The sequence below is a fragment of the Homo sapiens genome, chromosome 16, assembly GCF_000001405.40.
Source record: "Homo sapiens chromosome 16, GRCh38.p14 Primary Assembly".
Taxonomy (NCBI): domain Eukaryota; kingdom Metazoa; phylum Chordata; class Mammalia; order Primates; family Hominidae; genus Homo; species Homo sapiens.
Window position 1 is genome coordinate 19,256,977 of NC_000016.10, and position 26,679 is coordinate 19,283,655.

At 44.8% G+C, this 26,679-nt stretch overlaps 1 protein-coding gene across 12 annotated transcripts in view; it reads left to right on the forward strand.

The window, feature by feature from the left end:
• Positions 1-11,356, forward strand: part of SYT17 (synaptotagmin 17) — a 100,499-nt gene extending 89,143 nt beyond the window's left edge. For all 12 annotated transcript variants that reach the window (XM_047434203.1, XM_047434206.1, NM_001330509.2 and 9 more), the window contains one exon: positions 9,904-11,356. In XM_047434203.1, the coding sequence (XP_047290159.1) occupies positions 9,904-10,100 (197 nt within the window). In that variant the 3' untranslated portion in view covers positions 10,101-11,356. The remainder of the gene's footprint in view (positions 1-9,903) is intronic.
• Positions 11,357-26,679: the final 15,323 nt, after the last annotated feature.

A 26,679-nucleotide genomic window follows, 5' to 3' on the forward strand; every position in this document is an offset into this window, starting at 1 on the left:
AACTTCTCCGAGCCTCAAATTCCCCATCTGCAAAATGGCAATAAAAATAGGGCTGTGATATGGATTTAAGTTTAAAAAAGAAAAACAACAACATATATAAAGTGCTTTTCTCAGTTCGTAGTACACAGACCTCAAGATTTGCTGTTACTGATTTTTAATTATTATAATAAAGTTAACTGAATCGTCATTATGACTGTTGGAAGGAAAAACATGAAAAAAAAGTTCTGTCCCAGCAGCTGCTGTGAATCACGAAGTGAGCCAGAAAAGCTTGAAAAACATCACCCTTAAGTCATGGATGAAACTTCTTAGAACCAAAGAAATGTCATAGCTAAAAAAGAACTCAAAATCTACATATACCCGCTCATTGTATAAAGGGGGAAACTGAGGCCCAGGGAAGGGATATGATGTACCTTGTTTTGCAAAAAAAAAAAAAAGAAAAACCTGAAAAAGCTTCTAGGTTTCTGAAAGAAGAAAAAAAAGAGAGTGCTCCAGTGAGAAGAGGTTTTGCAAAAGTTGGAAAGACAATGAGGACCACCTGCGTTGCAGTGTGTCAGAGCTGCCCTGTAGGAAGAAAGAAAAGGGGAAGAAGCAGGCCTGTGTAGACTGCGTTATGTCTCCTCCAACAGTTAAGCTAACTCATGAACACCCTGATGATGGGCTGTGGGGACCTCTCGGCCATGAGGAAGTAGGCAGGACTATGAAACAGCCCAGGGTGGTCTTGCTGGCTTTGTGCATTTTTTCTTTTCAGGAACAGGGGAACATCTTAACCCAGCATCAAAGAGGTAGATCGCCGGGTACAGTGATGAGGTTTCGGGGTGCCAGCCATAATCTGGGGGTGTCCCTGCACTGTGCTGTCAGACTCAGAGTTGCATATGGGAGCAGTGAGAGCCTAGGGCACAAATGAGAGTCCTTCATTACCTTGTGAACCAAATATGCAAAATGAGAAGCTGTTGAGTCTGCTCCCATTGGTAAAGATGTTTTTTTTTTTTCCTTTTAATTTGCAGTGTTTATTACACCCACATTCTAAGTCATCCAGCTTCCCTTCCAGAACCGTCTGCCTTGGCAAACTAAATTAGCGACCAAATAATTTAGCTCCTATGGTGAGGAACAAATTCGTTTTTACAGCAAATATCAACAGGTGAAAGCCTCAGTTTGTCCCTGACTCCTTCAGGGTACTTAGGTTTTGACTGGAGCAGTGAGTGATCTCCCTTCACCCTCTAGAACTCACTCTTCTCAGCTGTAAAATGAGCCAGTGAAAGCAACTGCCTTAAAGCACTTCTCAAATGTGGGAGGTGGGGGGCGGGAAGGGTGGCAATTGTGTCCCCAGGGTACATCTGGCAATGTCTAGAGATACTTTTGGCAGTCACAAGGGAGATAGAGGAGGCCAGGCACGGTGGCTCACGTCTGTAACCCCAGCACATCAGGAGGCTGAGGCAGGCGAATCACCTGAGGTCAGGTGTTCGAGACCAGCCTGGCCAACATGGTGAAACCCCGTCTCTACTAAAAAACACAAAAATTAGCCAGGCATGGTGGTGCATACCTGTAGTCCCAGCTACTCAGGAGGCTGAGGCAGGAGAATCACTTCAACCCGGGAGGCGGAGGTTGCAGTGAGCTGAGATCATACCACTGCACTCCAGCCTGGGCGACAGAGCAAGACTCCATCTCAAAAATAAAATAAAATAAAATAACAGAAACAGGGGAGATGGAGGAATTGCTACTGATATTTAGTGTGAGATGATAGGAGCTACCAAGCATTTTAGAGTGCCTAGGACAGCACCGCAAAACACAGAATGATCTGGCCCATAATGTCAGCAGTATCAAGGGTGAGAAACCCTGCTCTGGAGGCTTGATGTGATGATTAAATGAGTCAATCCACTGACGTCCTTAGCCCTGGCCCTAATACACAGTAGGTGCTTAATAAACTGATCTTTATCCCAGGCTCCTTCAAAGCCTGATCTTTGAGCCCTGGTGGATGCCTCCTACCACACTTTTGTTTCCTGGTTGTGTTTCCCCAACTTGAATTGCTATGATACGGTGGAAATAGATATGTTGATAACTCTACAGGTAAGTTGGGTCTCAAATTCCTAAAAGTGGAATAGGCAGGGTGTGTCCATGCATTGTCTGAAGAAGGGAACTGGACTTCTGGGTACTTGCCTGTCCCCAGAGGGTAGCCTTAGGGTGCTGGAGATTAAGCGAAATCAGAAGAGAAAACATTAGAGCAAGGTACCGTGCAAGGTGTTACTCTATAGTCATTGGAGGAGGAGAACTAAAAGCATTTTGTGAGAGTAAAGTTTCCACTTACTGATCCCTTTCCCCATAAGTTTTAAACAAGGCTTAACATTTTTTAACTGTGTTTGCTACCAAAATTCCCATACTTCCTTTGATCCATTCAGCAGGCATCCTAATGGATTCATGATCATAATTATAAAAATAAATGATCACACTGCAAATAGCCGCCAGCCCTGTGAAGGAGGAAAATGTTATTTGCCTCTTCACCAAATGGTTCCATTCTATTGTAGTTTTTTGAGTTCTTGTATCTGTCTGGTACTCACAATCCACTATATTAAGTTACTCCAGATGGGAAAACCAGATGACTGAGTTTATTTGAATTATGTCTAAATCCATGAGCATTAAATAGGTTCTTAGAGAAAGCCCTCTTCATGGATTTTGTACATAGACTTGTGACATCAATTCTGAATGTTTTGATTTTTTTTTTTTTCTTGCCACACTCCATATTATACAGGTTGTTGAGAAATTGCTTCCAGATGACTAGGGTACACTTAGAGTGTGTACATTTTGTAAACCAAAAAGTGTCTGAGACAAGTCGCAATCAGTTTGGGAGTTTATTTTCCAAGGTTACGGACCTGTGCATGAAACAGCCTCAGGAGGTCCAGAGGACATGCGCCCAAGGTGGTCAGGCTACAGCTTGGTTTTATACATTTTAGGGAGACATAAGACATCAATCCATACATGTAAGAGGTACATTGGTTCAGTCCAGAAAGATGGGACAGCTGGAAACAGGGACTGGGGAGTGTGTGGGGTGACTTCCAGGTCTTAGGTGGATTCAAAGACTGGCAATTGGTTATTATCTAAAGACCTGAAATCAATGTCTAAATTACAATAAAGGTTTGTGGACACCAAGGTTTTATCATGCAGATAAAGCCTCTAGATAGCAGGCTTCAGAGAGAATAGATGGTAAGTGTTTCTTACCAGATTTAAAGAGTCTCTTCTGGCTGGGCGCAATGGCTCACACCTGTAATCCCGACACTTTGAGAGGCCAAGGCGGGAAGATCACTTGAGCTCAGGAGTTAGAGACCAGCCTGAGCAACATGGTGAAACCCCATCTCTACAGAAAATACCAAAAAAAAAAAAAAAAAAAAAAAAAAAGCCAGGCATAGTGGTGTGCACCTGTGGTCCCAGCTAGTTGGGAAGCTGAGGTAGGAGGATCACTTGAGCCTGGGAGGCAGAAGTTGCAGTGACCTGAGATCATGCCACTGCACCTGGGTAACAGAGAGAGACCTTGTCTCAAAAAAAAAAAAAAAAAAAAAAAAAGGAAAGAAAAAAAAAAGAATTCGTTCTATCAGTCTTAAGATCTGTCTTCATGTTAATGTTGGCATGTCTGACTTCCCCTTCCCACCACAGCCTGAACTAGCTTTTCAGGTCACCTTTGGAATGCCCTTGACCAAGAGGAGGGGCCCATTCAGATGGTTAGGGGGCTTAGAATTGTATTTTTGGCTTACAATATCCAGAAATATATTAGTGACTACATTTAAAAGAGTCCCCCATAACCATCAGTAGAAATATTTGGTGGAGGTACTTTACAACAAAATTTTTAGTTATGGATGTTTCTAAAGAGAAGGAATTTAGGAATGTGGTTATAAGGAATTGGCTTCATTCACAGGTTATTCAAATACTGCAAATTTTATCACCAATTAGCTATGTGACTTGGTTTCCTTACCTATAACATGGAGAGGGCTGGGTTATCTGACCCACTGTCCCTAAGCCCCTTTCTGGATTCCACATGTCTAGTCTTTAAAAAAAAATTGTAGAAAGAGAGTCTTACTATGTTGCCCAAGCTGGTCTCGAACTCCTGGGCTCAAGAGATCCTCCCACCTTGACCTCCCAAAGTGCTGGGATTACAGGTGTGAGCCACTGCACCTGGCCCCTGACATGTCTAGTTTTAATTCTCTATTTTCTCCAACACACTTAGAATTTACAGTGATGGCAATCTTGATATTCTCCCAGGCAACTTTCTAATAGAAGTTATTACTTATCTTCAGCTTCACTTTATTATAATTTGCATTTTAAATTTTTTTAAGACTGTTAAGATTGCCATAACTTTACCAAGTGATTTGCAATTTACACTGCCTGCTAATTAACTCAGATGGCCATGGCAGGAACTGCCTCCCATCAGAAAGGCTGAATCACTCAAGCGCTCCCACCTTTCAAGGGCCAAGTGATTCACCAGCCAAGTTACTTTACAAATTGGGATGAGGAGCATAGGATATTAGACTTCCTTTTAGTTTTCATCCTTTCTGGTGATTTAGTTGTGGATTCTCTAACAGTGACTTATTTTTCCTTTGTTTTCTTTCCAAAATAATATGTACTTTCTGTAAGAAGTTCAAACTGTACATACTTATTGATACAGAAAGTGGACATTTTCCTCTGTTTCCCCCTTCCCAGAGAGAGCCACTCTGAACAGTGGTGAACATCCATATTGTTTTCTTCAGGTATATTAACATTCTTTTTAACAAAAAGATTGTGCTTACATATACTGTTTTGTAATGTGCTTTTGTCTCCTAGCAATATGTGTTGGAGATTTTTCCATTTCATATAGATAAGTCTGTCTCATTTTTAATGGCAACATGGATTTCCGTGGTATTATTATCTCAGAAGTTATTTAATTCATTTCCTCCAGTCTTATTCTAGGTACCTCCCAAAGACAAACTTAGTGACATGAGCTCAAGTAGGCTACTAGGAGGTGACCTCAGGAAGCTTGAATAAGGGAATGGCAAATAAGACAGGAAAAGGAGGAAAACAAATCAAGGATGTTTGGCGAGTGGATATCTGCAGTATAGGGGGTCTTCAAAATCACCCTCAGGTCCAATGATTCACCACAGAACTTGGAAAAACTGTTATTCTCATGGTTACAGTTTATTACAGAAAAAGCATACAGACCAAAATCAGCAAAGTGAAAGATTGCTGCTATGGTCTGAATGTTTTGTTCCCCCAAAATTCTTATGTTGAATCCTAATCCCCATGTGGGAGGTGATTAGACCATGAAGGCTCTGTCCTCATGAATGGGGTTGGTGCCCTTATAACAGAAACCCAAGAGAACTGTCTTGCTGCTTCTATTGCATGAGAAGGCACCACCTATGAAGGAGAGCAAGCCCTCACCAGACACTGAATCTGCTGGTACCTTGATCTGGGACTTCCTAGCTTCTGGAACCATTAGGAAATAAATTCCTGTTGTTTATAAGCCTCCCTGTTTATGGTAATTTGTTATAGCAGCCCAGCAGACTAAGAAAGGGGAAAGAGTCCTCTTTGTCATAGGAAAAAGTCCAAGAGAGACCAGATGCAAGCTTCCAGTTGTTCTCCTCAACTGGAGTTATACGAGCAGTGCCTAATTCTCCTTGCAAGGATGTGTGACAACACACTTAGGGTATTGCCACCCAAGAAGACTCACCTGAGCCTTGGTGTCCAGCATAGTTAGAGGACGTTGGTCATATAGTCATGGCTGACCATCTGGGTAGCTGAGCCTCCTTGCAGAGGTAGCTTGCAGAGGTCCAGCTAATGTTGAGTGGCCCAAGGTCCTCACCATAAATCACAGTTAGCACAGACAAGCTGGCATGGCTCAGGCAGGAAGCTGCAGGTGCTTGAGGAAGGACACTATCTATAGAAACCATGAGTAGCCTCCAAGGTGGGCTGAGGGGTAGGCAGGGCACCAACAGCCCCAGCTACACTCCCTCAGGGACAGTCTTGCCATTTCCCGTTTTTCATTCTTATAAACAATGCCCTGGTGCAGGGGTCAGCAAACTTTTCTATAAGGAGTCAGATAATCTTTTTTTTTTTTTTGTATTCCCTTTTGGCAATTTGTTTAATTGAGATAAAATTCACATAACTTAAAACTCACCCTTTTGGTGTATACGATTCAGTGCTTTTTAGTATATTTTCAAGATTGTGCAACCAACACCACTATCTAATTCCAGAACATTTTTATCACCCCAAAAAGGAGCCCTGTGCCAATTAGCTATCACACCCCATTCCCTCTTTCCTCTATCCTTGATAACCACTAATGGTAATTTCTGTCTCTAAAGATCTGCCTATTCTGGACATTTCATATAAATGGATCATAATATATGACCTTAAAAACTTGGTACATAGGCCAGCCATGGTGACTTATGCCTGTAATCCCAGCATTTTGGAAGGCCGAGGTGGGCAGATCACCTGAGGTCAGGAGTTCAAGACCAGCCTGCCCAATGTGGCAAAACCCTGTCTCTACTAAAAATACAAAAATTAGCCAGGCATGGTGGTGGGCACCTGTACCCAGCTACTTGGGAGTCTGAGGCAGGAGAATCACTTGAGCCCGGGAGGCAGAGGTTGCAGTGAGCCGAGATCACGCCACTGCATCCCAGCCTGGGTGACAACAGTGAAATTACAACTCAAAAAAAAAAAAAAAAAAGAAAAGAAAAAAAAAACTTGGACATAAATGTTTACAGTAGCATTATCCATAATAATAGTCAAAATGTGGAAACAACCCAAATGTCCATCATCTGATGAACAGATAAGCAAAACATGGCATATCCATACAATGGAACGTTAGCTGGCCATAAAAAGTAGCACTACAACATGGATGAACCAGACAGATAGCAGATATGTGAGGCTTTGAGAGCCACATGGCCTCCAAATTATTCAGCTGCTGTGGTCTGAATAGTTGTCCCCCACCCTGCCAAATTTGTATGTTGAATTCCTAACCCACAAAGTGATGGCATTAGGAGGCGGGACCTTTGGGAGATGATTAGGTCATGAAGGTTGGAGCCCTCATAATTGGGATTAGTGCCCTTATAGAAGATGCCCCAGAGAACTAGCCTGTCCCTTCCACCATGTGGGGACTCAGTGAGAAGATACCACCTATGAGGAAGCAGCTTCTCACCAGACACCGAATTTGCCAGTGGCTTGATCTTGAACTTCCCAGCCTCCAGAACTGTGAGCAATAAGTTTTTGTTGTTTATAAGCCACCCAGTTTATGGCATTTTGTTACAGCGGCCTGAATGGACTAAGACATCAACTCTGCCCTTTTTGCACAAAAGCAGCATTATGTAAACAAATGGGTTTGACTGTGTTCCAATAAAACTTTATTTACAAAAACAGGTAGTAGTCCATATTTGACTGGGAGGCTCTAGTTTGCCCATTCCTGCTATATAAAATATCCTTGTATGTGTATTTTTGTCCATTTGTGCAGAAAATTCTATGGGATCAATTCCTAGAAGTGAAATTGCTGAGTCATGAGTTATGACATATTTATTTTGAACAGATGCTGTGAACCACCCCAAAATTTGAACCAACTTGCTTTTCCACCAGCGGCACATGAGAGTACGTGAGACTGAGATTTCCCCCACCTTTTTTTTTTTTTGAGACAAGCAAGGTCACTTTGCTACCCAGGCTAGAGCCAGTGCAGTGGCACCATCACTGCAGCCTTGACTTCCCTGGACTCAGGTGATCCTCCCACCTCAGCCTCCTGAGTAGCTGGGACTACAGGCACACACCACTATGTCTGGCTGATTTTTTGTATTTTTTAGTAAAGGCAGGGTTTTTCCATGTTGCCCAGACTAGTCTCAGACTCCTGGGCTCAAGCGATCCACCTGCCTCAGCCTCCCAAAGTGCTGGGATTACAGATGCGAGCCACCGTGCCCAGTCAGAATTTCCTTTCTTAAAGCCCTTTCACAAAGAAGTAGAACCCATACCCATTTAGAAGGGAAGTTTCTGCATTGTCATTCTTGAGCTTTGGAGAGGAAGAAGAAGATAGAACATTTTGCCCCCAAAGAAGAAAACTAAATGGGGCCTGAAGTGGTCTCATAATAGTATCTTATTTTAGATTTGAGGCTCACAGGGAAGGGGACTCTGGTAACTTGTCCTCATTTGGTGAGATCAAACCTTACACTGCCCACTAAGTGTCATTCCTAAAAGCCTTGAGTGTTACCTGTTCAATTATTTTTTCAAATGCAGAGAGCTCCTTAGCAATTTCATTTATTAAGCAAAGCTTCCATTCCTATTATTTCTCTTTGTAAGTAATTTGCATGTAAATGAGGTCCACCTATGCATACTGAGCATGTTACCAAATGTACAAAAAATATACATGGTCCAATTTTTCTCCACAGAGCTGACAGGTACCCATCCCTCTTGCTGAAGATGACATAGTATTTCACGTAGCCTAGTTTTCCCTAAGTCTTTTTGGCTTTTGGACGATGGATGGAGTTTTTGTTTTTATTTTTCCATTTTTCTTTTTTCTCCCTCATTTTCATCATTTGGAATTCGTGGTGTGAAACCCACAGGGGAGAACAGAGGCTCATTAGCATTCAAGCTCTGTTTTTGGCAGCATATTTTAGTTGCTTTATATGATATTCAGCATCCCTCCTGGGATCTAGCCTGCCTTTGCTCGGCTCACGCTGGGTGAATCTGTGATATTTCCCATTCTGTAGCCCTTCATTTATAACACAGGCATAGCCTGCTTTCCCATTAGTGAGATGGCATGCCTGGACTACCCACACACAGATCAAGAATTAGGCGGAACTTGGCCGGGAAGATAAATCAAGTTAACCGTCTCATTAGGCTTGAAAGACACAAATTAAGCTGAAGTTGGGATTAACAGAGAAGCCTTTCAAAGAGACATGCAGCACAACAAGGGGTGGAAGAAGTTGCCGTAGCCATTACTCTCAGAAAATTTCCAGCATTTGATGGAACAGAGGAAACATGAAGTCTCTTTTATAAAAGGTCAACAGACAGAAATTTAGGCTCAAAATAGCAGTATAACATTTGTTGAGCTCTTACCACCTGCTTGGCACTGTGTGCTGAGAGCTTTACACACATTATTTCATAGAAATTGCACATTGACCTATGAGAGAAGCACTACTAAAATTCCTGTTTAACTAATAAAGAAACTGAGGCTCAGAGAGGTTACTTCGCCTGCCTCAGAGACACAGAGCTTGGTCAAATGATAGAGCCAGGATTCACTCCCAGGATATTTGGTCCCATGGCCCATGGCTTAACCTAGTGGTTCCCGTTTGGGATGCATTGGCCTCCGCAGGGGCCATTTGGCCATGTCCGAAGACATTTGGGGTTGTCACAGCTGTAGAGAGAGCTGCTACCAGCTTCTAGTACGTAGGTACCCGGGATGCTGCTAAACTTCCTACAGTCCACAGGACAGTTACGGCAAAGGATTATCCCGCCCATAATGTCAACAGTTCCATGATTGAGAAACCCTGGTTTAATCGCTCAACTGGACTACATTGACAGGCTCACTGTTCCACTAGAACTATCCACTTACAGAGCTCTATATGCAGTGTGGTGATGCCGTGGGACATACGTTTAAGGCTGCATATTGCAGGCGGTGCAGCTGTCTGGCAGAAGGAACAGCCAATGCCAAGGCTGAGAGGTAAGAATCTGGCTGGCATGGGATGGCAGGAAACCAGGTGCAGCTGTTGCAGAGACTCACAGGAGGATGAGATGAGGGAGTTGGACTTCTCACCAAGAAAAGGAAAAAGACAGCGTGCCCTAAACGATGACCCCCATGTTTGCAGTTGACAAATGTGTAGACTAATGGCCTCTTGTCTTCTCCCTGCCTTCCTGTTCTGTTCCCCTCCTTCCTCTTGCCTCCCTCCTGCCCTCAACCCTCTGGCTCCCTAGTTTTCGGCCACAACATGAAGAGCAGCAATGACTTCATCGGGAGGATCGTCATTGGCCAGTACTCTTCAGGCCCCTCTGAGACCAACCACTGGAGGCGCATGCTCAACACGCACCGCACAGCCGTGGAGCAGTGGCATAGCCTGAGGTCCCGAGCTGAGTGTGACCGCGTGTCTCCTGCCTCCCTGGAGGTGACCTGAGGGCTGCAGGGAAGGCAGCTTTCATTTGTTTAAAAAAAAAAAAAAAAGACGGAAAAAAATGTGTCACATACTATTACATCCACACCTGCATACACACTCGCAACATGTCTACACACGTCCACACACACAGACACACAGATACCCCAAATCCTCTCAGAACTGAGAGGAAGCTGACTATTGATCACAAAATGGCCGCCCTCAGTTGAGTGAGGCCTAGGAACTTTCCGGAAGCCCCATCCATAGATCACAAGCTCAGTGGGCTCTGCCGTGGGACTTATTGGCAGTGCCTGCTCTTGTCAATACTCCTGCCCCAAAATGCACTTTCAACCCTCAGGCCAGAGAAAGGACCTCCCAAAGGGTGCCAAGCTCCATCAAGACTAAATTTACCAAGAGTTTGGCCAGTGTGTGGGAGACTTGAACACCCCCCACTTCCGAAACACACACCTACTGGGTAACTTCTGAACAGGCTGCTGTTCCCTGGGGTTCTTCAAACCTGATACCTTTCTCCAAAGGTGTAAGTATCTTTGTCTTCTCCGTAGTAAATGTGATAACTAGATTATGGGCCATTTGGAGAAACCAAATGGCAACCAAAACTATTCCAGTGTCAGAAGCCTTTCCTGGCTTAACAGAATTGTTCTTGTGTTAGCTCATCCCAGGGAACGCCCTGTGGGTATGTATGTGTATGTCCTCGTGCATGTGCCCTCACAGGCGAACACGTGTGTGCCTATGTGTCCTCTTGGAGAGCATGGCGATGGGCCAGGACCTCAGCCCTGAGCACTGCCTTCTCTCTGCCTCTCCTGTCCAGTGAGAGTCCAACCAGTGTCCTCCTGTCTGTCAGAGATCCCACTTTGGATAAAAGTAGTGTGTGTGTGTGTGTGTGTGTGTGTGTGTGTGTGTAAAGTAAATAGGATATGATAGAGCAAAAGTAACATTTTTTGACCGAATCATGGTGATTGTGACCCACGAAAGACATACAAAGACTTGATATATGGATTAAAATGGCTATCACACCCCATCCATGATGATCTTCTTCCTTAATCATACTCTGAGGATCTTTCTGTGTTTTTCTGTGAACGAATGTCACGTCTCTCGTGCTAAGGAATTAGTGTAGTTAGAATAGATCTCTCTCTCTCTCTCTTTCTCTCTCTCTCTTTCCTCTCTCTCTGTTGGATGCTTCTGTATCTTTTTCCACAGCATAATGTCTGGTGTGATGGGGAGCTATTTATTGAAATTAAAGATTATTTATTTGTGCCATGCATTCGAGTTATCTTTTTCTTCATGAACACAGGACATAGAAGGTGGGAGGGCATTGCAGCTAGTACTGCTGTGTAACAAACCATACTGAACAAGTCAAAACAATGATTTTTTTTTTTTTGAGACAAAGTCTCACTCTGTTGTCCAGGCTGGAGGGTAGTGGTGCAGTCTCTGCTCACTGCAACCTCTGCCTCCTGCATTCAAGCAATTCTCCTGCCTCAGCCTCCCGAGTGGCTGGGATTACAGGTGTGCACCACCACCCCTGGCTAATTTTTGTATTTTTAGTAGAGACAGAGTTTCACCATGTTGGCCAGGCTGGAATTGAACTCCTGGCCTCAAGTGATCCACCTGCCTCAGCCTCAGCCTCCCAAAGTGCTGGAATTACAGGCATGAGCCACTGCACCCAGCTTCAAAACAATGATATTTATTATACTGATAGATTTTGGGGGTCAAGAATGTTGAGTATTTGCAATATGTCTGTCTGACTTGAGCAGTGTACTAATGCCAATTATTCCAGTGTTGCTCTTCTATATAAAACTTTTCACTTCCTCAGGGCAAGATTCACGGCTTATTTAGCATTTTGTTGGCCAAGCCCTGCTAAGGGCATGACCCAGGTAACTGCTCCATGGGCTAAAATGGCTTCACCCCTCAGGCTACATTGGGTATTGCAGAGAGAACCTCATGGTGTCTCCCATTCTGGAGTGGAAGTGTTGTGGAGGTCAAGGGGGAGAAACAGGGAGGCTGGGTTAGGTTGATGTATTCATCCATTTTGCATTGCTGTAAAGGAGTACCTGAAACTGGGTAACTTATAAAGAGGTTTATTTGGCTCATGGTTCTGCAGGCTATACAGGAAGCACAGTGCTGGCATCTGTGTGGCTTCTGTTGAGGCCTCAGGAAGCTTACAATCATGGTAGAGGGCAAAGGGTGAACAGGCGTGTCACATGGCAAGAGAGGAAGTGAGAGAGGAAGAGAAGGAGGTGCCAGGCTCATTTAAACAACCAGCTCTAATAGAGTGAGAACTCACTCATCACCAAGCCGTTCATGAGGGATCCACCCCCATTACCCAAATACCTTCCACCAGGCCCCACCTCCAACATTGGAGATCACATTTCAACATGAGATCTGGAGGGGGAAACAACATCCAAACCATATCAGTTAAGTTCTCAGAAAAGGAGAAGTGTTTTCCTTCTCTATGAAATGGCTTCATTACTGTGGTTTACAGTAGAAGATAAAAGCATAAAAGAACAAACAAAATGAGTGAAGACAGGTACGTAATAAGCACTTAGAACTAGAGGTGGAGTCATTGGTGATGAGGCCCAAGGGCTTTGGGCCCAAGAAACCATAGTTCAAATCCCAGGACCACCACTCCTTAACTGTGTACTGGGGCACAAACCACGTAAGTCTTCTAAGCCTCAATTTCCTCGTTGTCTTAGGGTGCCTCAAAAACAGACCTTGACATGAGGACTTGGGTGCAGACGACCCCAGAAAGCATAAGTGAAGAATAAGGGGAAGGAGAAAAGCAAAAGTCTTCATGAATTAGTACTGTGAGCTCAGTCATACTGAGGACCCCTGTAGAAAACACTAAAGAATTATCATTATGCAGAAGCTGGAGTATTTAATTACTGACGCTTGTCCCTCCTCATGGCTTGAGGGCTGCCCTGAAAGCATTAAATGTTTGGCACTTCAGAATTGTCCAGTGTGGTCTGTATAAGCTCCCATAACACCAGAGAAATCTCTGGGCAGAGGAAGAGGCACATGTGCTTGATGAGGTCAGCTGTGTATGTGCACAACACAGCTCCCTATAGCCACAGGGGAGCCAGGTGGACTGAGGGATATGAGGCAGGGCATCCCCAGCATTAGACACCTTCATTAGTAATAACAAGAGGGCTGACTAGCACCACACGAGGTGCCAAACATCACATTTAAGCCTCATGCAGCAACCTTCAGGGGTGTAGAAGAGATGTTAATCTCCTTTTACAAATGGGGAGGCCAAGATTTTTTTTTTTTTTTTTTTTGAGGCAAAAAATTGCTCCGTCTCCCAGGTTGGAGTGCAGTGGTGGTATCACGGCTCACAGCACTGGGCTCAAGCAATCCTCCCACCTCAGCCCCCCAAGTAGCTGGGATCATAGGCCTGGCTAACTTCTTAATTTTTTTGTAGCGATGAGCTCTCATTATATTGTACAGGCTGGCCTTGAATTGCTGGGCTCAAGTGATCCTTCTGCCTCGGCCTCCCATAAGTGCTGAAATTACAGGCATGAGCCACTGCGCCCAGCTGGAAGTCAAGATTTAATAAGTTTAAGTGTCAGGTAACTGCAATAGAGATAAAAAGCCAGCCCAGGCCCAGCTGCCTACCCTGTTATGGGTTGGTGATTTGCTGGAGTCCTAACCTGAGACTGTGGCCTTATTTGGAGAGAGGGTCTTTACAAAGGTGATCAGGTTGAAGTGAGGTCATGAGGTGAGCCCTCATCTGATATGACTGGAGTCCTTATAAGAAGAGGAAATTTGGCCAGGCACAATGGCTCATGCCTGTAATCCCAGCATTTTGGGAGGCCAAGGCAGGAAGATCACTTGAGGTCAGGAGTTCGAGACCAGCCTGGCCAACATGGTGAAACCCAACTTTACTAAAAATACAAAAAATTATCCAGGCATGGTGGCACATGCTAGTAATCCCAGCTATTTGGGAGGCTGAGGCAGGAGAATCACTTGAACCCAGGAGGCAAATGTTGCAGTGAGCTGAGATCGTGACAGCCTGGGTAACAGAGTGAGACTCCGTCTCAAAAAATAGAAAGAAAAAAGGAGGAAATTTGAATGCAGAGACAGACACAGAGGGAAGAAGATGTGAAGAGACAGGGAGAAGAAAGCCATCTACAAGCCAAGGAGAGAGGACTGGAACAAATCTCTCATAACCCTCAGAAGGAACCAACCCTGTTGACACCTCAATCTCAGACTTCCAGCCTCCAGAACTGTGAGACAATGAATTTCTGTTGTTTAAGCCCCAGTCTGTGGCACTTTATTAAGGCAGCCCTAGCAAACTAAGTCAGAGCCAGTGTAGCTAAACACTCCACTGGGCTGTGTCATCTAAAAATAGGATGACAATTCTTTTTTTTTAAATTTTGAGACAGGATCTCACTATGTTACCCAATCTGGTCTCGAACTCCTGGGCTCAATCAATCCTCCTGCCTCAGCTCCCCGAGTAGCTGGAACTACAGGCACACACCACCATGTCCGGAAATAGGGTGACAGTTGTTACCCCTTAGGGTTGATTAGCTGGGAAAATGCCTGCAGAGAGTTTGTTTGTTTAGTTGTGTTGTTGTTTTGTTGTTGTTGTTGTTGTTTTGCCTGCAAAGTTTTACCATAACCCTTGGCACACTGCGTGATGGTGATGAGTGCTAGCACACATCAGGCAGTGTTTGCTGGATGATCAGAGGTAACAGTGGTGGACAGATCAGAGCCTTTCACATCTCCAGGAACAGAGCTCGTCAGGAGACGAGAGGGATGTGTTGAAAGGTGAAGGAAGGACTGAGTTTCTGTAGAAACCTGTGCCCAAGGTGCCCTGTTGTGGGCTGCCCACTCGTTTAAATTGGCATCCTCCTCCTCTTCAGGTAGGAGGTGGGAAAGGAGATACACAGGCCACTTAAACACCCTCTTTGGAATGGGAACTTGAGTTCAAAGGAAAAAAGCTGGGTTGGGGATTTTTAAACCCGCTTCTACTTTCCCAGGACCATCCAAGAGTCCGCTCATCTTCTTGGGTGAAGCAACATCCCCCTTTCCCTCCTTGGCAGTGACTCGGAGCTCACGGCTGACTCCAGGGCATCCCAGGATTCCAGCCCACACCTTGGACTTGCAGAAGCTAATGACCCCTGCCCAGCTCTGCTCACATAGGATGGGTCCCAGGGCGTCAGGAATAGCTATTTCCTGGGTACTGATATTTCACTCCCAGAAAGCTGGGAATCACTGCAAGAAAATTCCTTTCCTTTCCTTTCTGGGTGGACTGTCATCCACTGGCAGTGGGATATCTGCCCTTTTTATGATCAAAAATACCATTTAAAAATAACTCTGGGATGTTTGTAGGTAAAAACTGAAAACTTAGGCCTAGAAAAAAGACTGGATGGCAGTGCCCTACAGGTTGGCAGCAGTGGTCCTTTGGGTCATTCTTTTACTACCTAACTGTATTAGTCAGGGCTGTCGGAGAGACAGTACCAGTAGGAAATATGGAAGGGGATTTAATTAGGGGGGATTGGCTCACATGATCACAGAGGCAGAGAAATCTCAGGATAGGCCAACTGCAAGCTGGAGAACTGGAGAACTGGGAGCGTGGCTCAAAGCTGGGAGTGTGGCTCAGTCCAAATCCAAAGCCTCATAACCAGGGAAACCAACAGTGCAGTCCCCAGTTAGACCCAAGAGGCCCCTGAAGGATGCTGGTGCAAGTCCCGGAGTCCAAAAACCGAAGAACCTGGAGTCTAATGTTCCTTTAAAGGCAAAAAGAGGGAAAGTGTCCCACTCTGGAAAGGAGAGAGAGATCAAAAAGGGCCAATCCCCTTTCTGCCCTTTTGTTCCAGCCAGACCACCAGCCAACTGGATGGCATCCACCACACTGAAGGTGTCTCCCTCTCTCAGACCACTGACTCACACATCAATCTCCTCTGTAAACGACCCCCCCAAGACATGCCCAGAAACAAGGCTTCCCCAGCTGTCTAGGAATCCTCAATCCAGTCAAGATGACACCTAAAATTAACCATCATAAGCCTACCCCTTGTCAACCTGGTACTCCTGCATGTCTCCTTAAACCATACTTAATCTCCACATAAAGACAATTACAAGGTCATAATTCCACATGACATGATACAGCTATCCAAAGTACAACCAAAAATGTGTGAACCCCGTCCCCAGAAGAGGAGGTAAAGTTCTTGAGTGATGTTTACTCTTCTCCTAATATTCCATAACTGAAATACCAGGATGTAAAATTAACAATGCTTAAATGCTGATATAAAGTTAATAAATCTAGCTGGGTGTGGTGGCTCACGCCTGTGATCCCAGCACTTTGGGAGGCTGAGGTGGGCTGATCACTTGAGGCCAGGAGTTCGAGACCAGCCCGGCCAACATAGCGAAGCCCTGTCTCTATTAAAAAATACAAAAGTTAGCCAGGCATGGTGGCGCATCCCTGTAGTCCCAGCTACTTGGAGGCTAAGGCAGGAGAATTGCTTGAACCCGGGAGGTGGAGGTTGCAATGGGCCGAGATGGTGCCACTGTGCTCCAGCCTGGGCAACAGAGCGAGACTCTGTCTCAAAAATAAATAGATAAAAATAAAGTTGATAAATCTTATGTTACATGATAAAAGAATAAGGCAGAAGAGAAAACAAAGATATTTGCTTAATATATGTATATATATGCACAAGGGATTGAGAGATGCCCTGTATATATAATGGTTTCTTAACCAAGTAGGGAGAAAAAGGCTCATATAATTATAATCATCATTTCTGTAACTGGTGCAGGTCATAGTTGATTGTTCATAACTACCTTCTACTACCCAATCTGTATTCCCTTTGCTTTCAGCAAACACCTCAGCTGGTCATGATTTTTTTGTTTTTGTTTTTGTTTTGTTTTTATAGAGACAGGGTCTCCCTGTGTTGCCCAGGCTGGTCTTGAACTCCTAGACTCAAGCAATCCTTCCACCTCAGCCTCCCAAAGTGCTGGGTTATAGGTGTGAGCCACTGCTCTCAGCCTGCTCATGGTTTTTAATGGAGCAGGGTGACCCAAACTTTCATTTCTGAAGGGTCTGGGCCATTCATAGTTCTGCCTAGATTGGGTTATTGTAGTTTCCCATCATCCTTGATTCCAAGGCATTAACAAGACACTCTATGGGATCCTCCTGTGTGCCAGACATATTTTTCCTTTTCTCCATTGTAGAGTAGTATCCAGTTTCCCCTTGGTAGTCCAGATCAATCACCCTACCCAACACCATAACTCCCTTCTTAGCCTGTAGACTCAGAGGCATGAGCAGCCCAAAGTGGCCAGGTGCCAGTCTTAACTTTCAGGTCAATAGAATCACTATTGTGTTTCCTGGTAGAAGCATTCTTCCCTCTGCAACTAAGATCTCTAGGGCAGCAGAACATAATGTCATGGAACAGGAAGCAAAACAAACAAACAAAAAACTGCTAGTGGGTCAGTAGGAGTAATAGTGAGTGGAGCTACTCCTATGCTCACTCCTTGATTCCTGGACCCGTGAATACTAGCTACCAGAGAAACAACACCATATCTGATTCAGAGTATATACAGCCTTCTGGAGAACCTTGCCCCACCCCTATAAAGTATTGTTAACTAGCTGGCTGTGATTTCAAAAGACCATTCCACTGTTCCATCAAGCCAGCTGCTTCAGGATGGTAGAGAAGATGGTAAGATCAGTGAATTCCATGAGCATGAGCCCACTGCCACACTTCTTTGGGTGTAAAGTGAGTTCCTTGGTCAGAAGCAATGTTGTGTGGAATACCATGATGGTGGACAAAGCATTCTGTAAGTCCATGCATGGTAGTTTTGTCAGAAGCATTGCGTGGAAGGAAGGCAAATCCATATTCAGAGTCAGTGTCTATTCCAATAAGGACAAAATGCTGCCTCTTCGATGATGGAAGTGGTCCAATATAATCAAACTGCCACAAGGTAGTTAGCTGATCACCCCAAGGAATGATGCCATATTGGGTGCTCAGTGCTGGGTTCTGCTGCTGGCTGATTGAGGACTCAGCAGTGGCCACTGTAGCCAGGTCAGCCTTGGTGAGTGGAAGTCCATGTTGCTGAATCCATGTATAACCTCCATCCCTGCCACCATGGCCACTTTGTTCATGAGCCCATTGGGCAACGATGGGGTGGCTGGGGAAAGAGGCTGCCTGGTATTCACAGAACAGGTCATCCTATTGACGTGATTATTAAAATCCTCCTCTGCTGAGGCCACCCTTTGGTAAGTATTCAGCTGGGACACAAATACTCTCACATTTTTTGCCCACTCGGAGAGGTCTGTTCACATACCTCATTCCTAAATTTATTTGTTACCAATTTTCCAGTCATGTTCCTTCCAAGTTCCTGACTATTCAGCCAAACCATTGGCTATAGCCCATGAATAATATATAGTCCCATGTCTGGCCACTTCTCCTTCCAAGCAAAGTGCACAACCAGGTGCACTGCCCAAGGTTGTGCCAATTGAGAAGATGTCCCTTCACCGTTATCCATCAGAAATGTCCCAGAAACTGACTGTACTGCTGCAGCTGTCCACTTCTGGGTGATGCCTGCATATTATGCAGAAATATCTGTAAACCAGACCCCAATCTTCTCTTTTCTTGTCATCTGATCATAGGGTACTCCCCATGAGCCCAAAGGTGCAGGCTGGGAGAGAGAAGATAGTGTAGCAGGAGTGGGGAGCATGGGCATCTGGTCCACTTCTTCTTGTAAGGTACTTGTGCCTTCAGGACCTGCTCAGGCCTGGTCACATACCAGATCACATACATACCTGGTCATACCTGGTCACAAACATACCACTTCCATTTGATGAAGGAGTGCTGCTGTGCATGTCCAACTTTATGGTTTGGTGGATCAGATAACACCTAATTCATGATGGGCAGCTCTAGTGGCATGAGAGCTTGGTGACCCATAGTCAAGCGTTCAGTTTCTACTAAGGCCAAGTATCACGCCAAGAGCCATCTCTCAACAGGAGAGGAGTTATCTGCGGATGATGCACGGCCTTGCTCCAAACTCCAAACAGCATCCCCATCTGCCACTGACACCTTAGGCACCACTAGATCTGCTGGATCATAAGACCCAAGTGGCAGAGCAGCTTTAACAGGAGTCTGGACCTGTTACCAAGCCTTCTCCTGTTTTGAGCCCCACTTAGAACCAATGGCTTTTTGGGTCACTCAGTGAATGGGCCAGAGTAACACAACCAAATGAGGAATGTGTTGCCTCCAAAATCCAAATAGGCCCACAAGGCATCATGCCTATTTCTTGGTTGTAGAAAAGGCCAAATGCAACAATTTATCCTTTACCTTAGAAGAAGTATCTCAACAGGCCCCTCACCACAGGATTCCTAGAAATTTCACTGATGTAGAAGTTCCTTGAATTTTAGTTGAATTTATATTCCACCCACTGTCATACAAATATCTTACCAATAAGTTCAGAGTGGTCGCTACTTCTCACTATGTCCAATCAGCATAATGTCATCAATGTAATGGACCAATGTAATACTTTGTAAAAGGGAAAGGCAGTCAAAATACCTGCAAACAAAATTATGATATAGGGCTGGAGAACTGATGTATCCCTGAGGGAGGACAGTAAAGCTATATTGCTGGCCTTGTCAGCTGAAAGCAAACTACAGTGGATCCTATGGACGGATATGGTAAAAAATGCATTTGCCAGGTCAATAGTTGCATACTAGGTACCAGGAGATGTGTTAATTTGCTCAAGCAATGAAGCCACATCTGGTACAGCAGCTGCAATTGGAGTCACCAGTTGGTTAAGCTTATGATAATCTACTGTCATTCTCCAAGATCCATCTGTCTTCTGCACCAGCCAAATAAGAGAGTTGAATGGAGATGTGTTCTCCATCCAAACTGAACACAGAATGGAGAATCACCACCCCTGTGTCTTTCAAGTCCTTGATGATGGCACTAATCTCTGCAATCTCTCCAGGGATGCAATACTGTTTTTGATTTACTATTTTTCTGTATAGAGGCAGCTCAATGGCTTCCATTTGGCCTTTCCATAATAGTCCTCTCTCCACAAGTTAGGGGGTCCATGTGGGGATTCTGCCAGCTGCTAAGTATGTCTATTTCAATTAAGCATTCTGGAACTAGGGAATGTTTAATAACCATGGGATGGGTTCCAGGACCCACTGGACCCACTGTCAGTTGGACCTGAGCTAAAGCTCCACTAATCACCTGACCTCTGTAAACCAAAAAGTGTGTGAGACAGGTCTCAATCAATTTAGAGGTTTATTTTGCTAAGGTTGAGGATGAGTCTGGAAAAAAGAGACACAAGTTAGAGTGGAATCTAAAGCCTGTGCTTTTTCCCAAGACAATTTTGAGGACTTCAATATTTAAAGGGAAAAGAGGGGGCAGGAGGGGAAGGAGGAAAGAAACAAGGAGGGGGAAGATACACAGTGAAGGGAGTGGTCACATTCTTGTGAGGCTCTGACCAGTGCTCAGTGAATCCACATTTTACATGTGAAAAGGAATGAGTGAGGGGAAAAGTCAATTATGTATTCATTTCACACTCAGTAGATCTACATTTTACATAAGATAAAATAAGCATGTGAAGTTATAGCTATCTGGTTAGGAACAAAAGAAAGGCAGTTTTTGCATTACTCAATTCCCAAGCTTAACTTTTCTCTTTGGCATAGTGAGTTTGGGGTCCTTAGATTTTATTTTTCTTTGACACCTCCAAAAGCCCTTACTTTGACTGGAGGGCCACAGTGCCCTTTTTGGGTCTCCTGGAATCAATGTCAGTTAGAGCCAGTATTGTAGTCCCCAAAGGTCTGATTATTTCCCTTTCCCCAGTGCACAGTTACCTATGGTAAAAGGCCATAGGTCCCTTTGGGGAAGGATGGGGAAAAGATTAACAGCATAAATCTTCAGTAGTGTACCAGGGTCCTTCCTCAGGGAGACTCAGCCTCTGCTTCTTTCAAGGGGTTCTGGGGTCTGTAGGCTAACTCAAGTCTGGAAAATGATTGAGGGACCATGATTCTCTGTTTTTATGATTTAAATTACTTTTGTTCACTTGACCTGAAAGTTTTCTGCTTACACAGATCAAGTAAGAATGTAGTAGACTTCCAGGGCCAGACAAGGTGACACACATCTGTAGTACTAGCTACTTGGGAGGCTGAGGAGGGAGGCTCACTTGAGCCCAGGAGATCAAGGCTGCAGTGAACTGTGATTGTACCACTGCACCCCAGCGTGGATGATAAAACAAGAGCCTGTCTCTTAAAAAAATTTTTTTAATAGCTAAAAAAATTAAAATTTTAAAAATAAAAAGAATTAAACAAATAAAAGAATGTGGTAGGCTTCCCATCTATTTCACTTCTAGGATCACCATGATTAATTAACCAATGCCAACAGGAACACCATGATTAATTAGCCAGTGCCACAGGTCAACAGGAGGCCAACTATTCTGGTTGTTGCTTTGCCTTTGTGATCCATTATGGTAAACACGCCCATCTTGCCTTTGATGGTTAGTGCTGCCACTTGGCTGCTGCCACCCCGGAATCAATTATTCCCATTGCATTTAAGTTTTCCAGTTGAGTGACTGCAGTTCCCACTGTAAGGTCTGGCCTACAGAGAAGAACAATTACAGAGCTCTTCAAGGATGCTAGTGTTCCCCTCACAAATCTATTTCTCAAGCATTAGTCAAAGGCATATTTTCTGGTCCCTCCCAGTGTGAGTGTGTGACAAATCTACTCTATCATCCCAATCTCCCTAAACCTTTAAATCTCTTCTTGCATTAAACCAGGGGAGATCAGGCATCTCCAGCTCCATCATGGTGGGCCATCTTTTGACCCATGTTTCAGCCAACCAGTCAAGGAATCAAACTATTCACATCTTTTCTAACTCCCCAAGCTGCAACAATAATGCAGACTCTCTGCTTAGTGAGCCTATGTTAGTAAATTTGGCCTGATCTAACTTTCTGTTCCTTCCACCATTATCCCACATCCTGAATATCCTTTCCCACACATGTTCTCCAGATTTCTGTGTGTATAAATTAGAAAACTCATGTAGTTCTTTTGGTGTGTAGCGTACCTTCTCATGGGTCACACTTTGTGCCTCACCTTTATGGGCCTGCTGGGATTAGAGACAGGTTATAGGTCTAGAAGTAAAAAGGGGTGGTGGAGCTAGGTCCAGAGGAGAATCAGCATTGTCTTGCCTGGCAACTGCCTTGGAGGAGGCCACTTCTGTTTCCTCAAGCAATGCAGGGCTTAATCCCCCTAGACAAGGGGGATTAACTTATAAAACCTGTAAGTGGTGTAAGACCTATACCACTGCAGACAGGGAGGTCACTTCACTTGGGAAATAAGACTCATCAGAATCTAAGAGCTCAGAGCAGTAAGCTATGATTGTGCCATGGCATTCCAGCCTGAGCAACAGAGCAAGACCCTGTCTCTCTTTTTGAGACGGAGTCTTGCTGGGCCATCCAGGCTGGAGTGCAGTGGTGCCATCTCAGCTTTCTGCAACCTCCGCCTCCCAGGCTCAAGCAATTCTCCTGCCTCAGCCTCCCGAGTTGCTGAGATTACAGGCGCCGGCCACCATGCCTGGCTAATTTTGGTGTTTTTTTTTTTTTTTTTTTTTTTTTTTTTTTTTTGAGACGGAGTCTGGCTCTGTCACCCAGCCTGGAGTGCAGTGGTGCGATCTCGGCTCACTGCAAGCTCCGCCTTTCAGGTTCATGCCATTCTCCTGACTCAGCCTCCCGAGTAGCTGGGATTACAGGCGCTAGCCACCACACACGGCTAATTTCTTGTGTTTTCAGTAGAGATGGGGTTTCACTGTGTTAGCCAGGATGGTCTCCATCTCCTGACCTTGTGATCCACCCACCTTGGCCTTGCAAAGTGCTGGGATTACAGGTGTGAGCCACCTTGCCAGGCCAATTTTTGTATTTTTTAGTAGAGATGGGGTTTCACCATGTTGGCCACGCTGGTCTCAAACTCCTGACCTTCAGTGATCCACCCCGCTCAGCCTCCCAAAGTGCTGGGATTACAGGCGTGAACCACCATGCCCGTCCAAGACCCTGTCTCTTAAAAAAAAAAAAATAGAAGTTCAGTGTCCCAGCCTCCTCAGAATCCTCCCACACATCCCTCCCAACTTACAGGGCCCATTCTTTCCCAATCAATACCCTCACCTTAACGGTAGACACCCTGAGGGGCTGAGTTTACCTTTCATTGTAAGTCAGCCAATTGGAGGATGAGGGCTTGTGTTTGATTTTCAGCACTTTCAACCCTATGACCATACAGGAGAGAAGATTCTGCTTCAGGGCACACTTAGAAGCTTCCAGGCTAATTGTGTGCATCTAGAGCTGAGAAATTGAGTCCCTGTCCTCATTCTTTTCTTTCATCACTTTGTCTACCGATGTTAGGAGCAACTAACCCACATCATTCTATGCCTTGGCTTTCTACAGATGCTCAAAAGTATCATGCACAGGGTCACTAAGTTCCTTGCTTCTTCTTAGCAGTGTACTAGGAGTATCAAGTGCATTTATTTTGTGTATCTCTATTAACAGTTCATGCCATGGACTATCAATGCTCTCCGTACTATGAGAAGTAGAATCTTTAGCATTTTGGGGTTTAATCAGATTACAGAGCCAATTCCAGAAACCCCAAAACCAAGTAAGGAACTTCATTCTTAAAATTGTTTCTCTAAATGGTTGGGCGCAGTGGCATAGGCCTGTAATCCCAGCACTTTGGGAGGCCGAGGCGGGCAGATCATGAGATCGGGAGTTTGAGACCAGCCTGCCCAGCATGGTGAGACCCCCATCTCTACTAAAAATACAAAAAAAAAATCAGCCGGGCATGGTGGCGGGCGCCTGTAGTCCCAGCTACTCGGGAGGCTGCGGCAGGAGAATCGCTTGAACCTGGGAGGCAGAGGTTGCAGTGAGCCGAGATTGCGCCATTGCACTCCAGCCTGGGCAACAGAACAAGACTCCATCTAAAAAAAAAAAAATTGTTTCTCTAGAACTACCTCCTGGTACCAAAATCTGTATTAGGATTCTCCAGAGAGACAGCCAGTAGGATAGATGGAAGGGGATTTATTGAGGAGGAGTTGGCAAACACAGTCACAGAGGTGAAGTCTCAGGATAGGCCAACTACAAGCTAGAAAACCAGAGAAGCTGGAGTGTGGCTCAAAGCTGGGAGTGTGGCTCAGTCCAAGTCCAAAGCCTCATAACCAGGGAAGCCAGCAGAGCAGCCTCCAGTCAGACTCAAGAGACCCCAAAGGCCACTGGTGCAATCCCTAGAATCCTAAAGCTGAACCTGGAATCCAATGTCCAAAGGCAAAAAGAGAAAAAGTGTCCTACTCTGGAAGGAAGAGGGAGAGCAGAGAGATGACCAGTCCCCCTCCTTCTGACCATTTTTTCCAGTTGGCTCCCTGCCAGTTGTTTGGTGTCCTCCCACACTGAGAGCAAGTCTCCCTCTCTCAGTCCACAAACTCCCATGTCAATCTCCTCTGGCAATGCCCTCCCAGACACATTCAGAAACAACGCTACCTCCGGGATTGAGGCATCCCTCAATCCAGTCAAGTTGACACCTAAAATCAACCATCACATCAACTTGATACTTTCCTATACAGTATTTTTGAAGGTTCTAAAGTGATTGAAAGGTAGCTAACATATATGGAATGCTTATCATGCGACAAACATTTTTCTAACCACTTGTATGAGGGAAGTATTGATTTCTTCCCATTTTGCAGTTGAGAAAACTGAGGATTAGAGGGGTTAAGTAATCAGCATATAATCACACAGCAACAGGTCTGGAGTCTGAACAACAATGCATCTGAATTGAAAGCCATGAAATGAACTGGCATCTATTGCCTCTTTTATAATTGTGGTGAAGGGGTAAGGGACTTTGTTTAATTGATAAACAACATTTTTTAAAAGCTAATAAATTAAGGGAGATAGATGATTGACAGATAAATAGATGATAGAGATTAGATAGACAGACAGACAGAGGGAGAGAGATAAAAGAGAGAGAGAGGGAGAATCTTAATGGAACTTCAAGATGCCATGAACACAGTGTATGTATTGGGAGAGAGAAAAGATAGGCCACCACTCAATAAATACAACTTTAAGAAGCCAGAAAATACATACGGTGTAACAAAGAGACGCCTACAACCTCCAAATGACAGCAAAGATCATATTTGTTAAGTGAAGAAATTGTTTACTTTCTGGCCAGAAAGCTTGAGGTCTAGAACAGGGATTGGCAGGTGACAGCCCGTGGGCCAAATCTGGCCCCTTGCCTATTTTTGTAAATAAAGTTTTATTGGCACACTGCCTGGTCCAGTCCTGTATTTCTGGCAGAGTTGAGTAGTTGTGACAGAGGCTGTGTAGCCCACAAGTCCTAAAATATTTACTGTCTACCTCTTTTTTTTTTTTTTTGACAGAGTCTCACTCTGTCACCCAGACTAAAGTGCAGACACCATCTTGGCTCACTGCAGCCTCAAGCTCCTGGGCCCAAGCGAACCCCCTGCCTCAGCCTCCCAAGTAGCTGGGACTACAGGTGTGCACCACCACACCTGGCTAAGACTTTATTTTTTAAGTAGAGATGGGGTCTCACCATGTTGCCCAGGATGGCCTCAAACTCCTGGCCTCAAGCAATCCTCCCACCTCAGCATCCCAAAGTGCTAGAATATAAGCATAAGCCACTGTGCCTGGCCTGTCTGGTTCTTTATAGAAAAAGTTCCCTACCCTGTCCAGAGCAGGGTTTCATAAACTTTAATATACACACAACCCACCTGGGACGCAGAATTGATTCAGCAGGTCTTGGGGGGCCTGAGATTCTGCATTTCTAATGTGCTACCAGGAGATCCCCGTGCTGCTGGCCCATTGACCATACTTGTGTTTGAGCAAGTAACAAATATCTTGTGTGTCTCCATTCAGAGAGGGTACATGAACTGATTTATAAAAACCTTCAGGCATCAAAATACAACACAGATAATTTAGGAGGTTTATTTGCCAAATCAAAGGATTCTCCACTTTTTAGAAGGATTTCTAGTGGCCTGCTTTGGACCACTCTTCTCCTTCCCACTTAATGTGTCCACACCCAGAGAGACATTGCTATGGTTTGAATGTCTGTCCCCTCCAAAACTCAAGTTGAAATTTAATTGTCATTGTGATGATATTGGGAGGCGGGACTGGTACTGAGTAATCAATGGGCTTGCTACCCAATGTGCCCAGAGGCCAATATCATGGCACTGGCTTTTAAGAAGAGAAAAGCTTTATTGCTAGTCAGCTGGCAAGGAGACAGGAGGAAAGGCTCAAATCTGTCTCCCCACGCTAGGGTTTGGGTCAGGTTTTATAAGCATAGGGTAATGAGGCATGATCTGATTGGATCTTGCAATGAGATGATGTGGGGAGGCATGACCTGATTGGATCCTGCCATGGGGTAACGTCAGAGCTCAATCCGATTGGATTCTGGATCCTGCCATGTAGTGTCTGCTTCTGAATTCAGTCCCTGCTCCTCAGTCTGAGCACTTAGGTTCCCCCTGTGGTTGCACACTTGGTTCATCTGGGCATGCTCAGGTTACATGACCTTCAATCTGAGGGTCCATGGCAAATGAAAAACAACTCACAACTTTGTTACGTAAAAGTT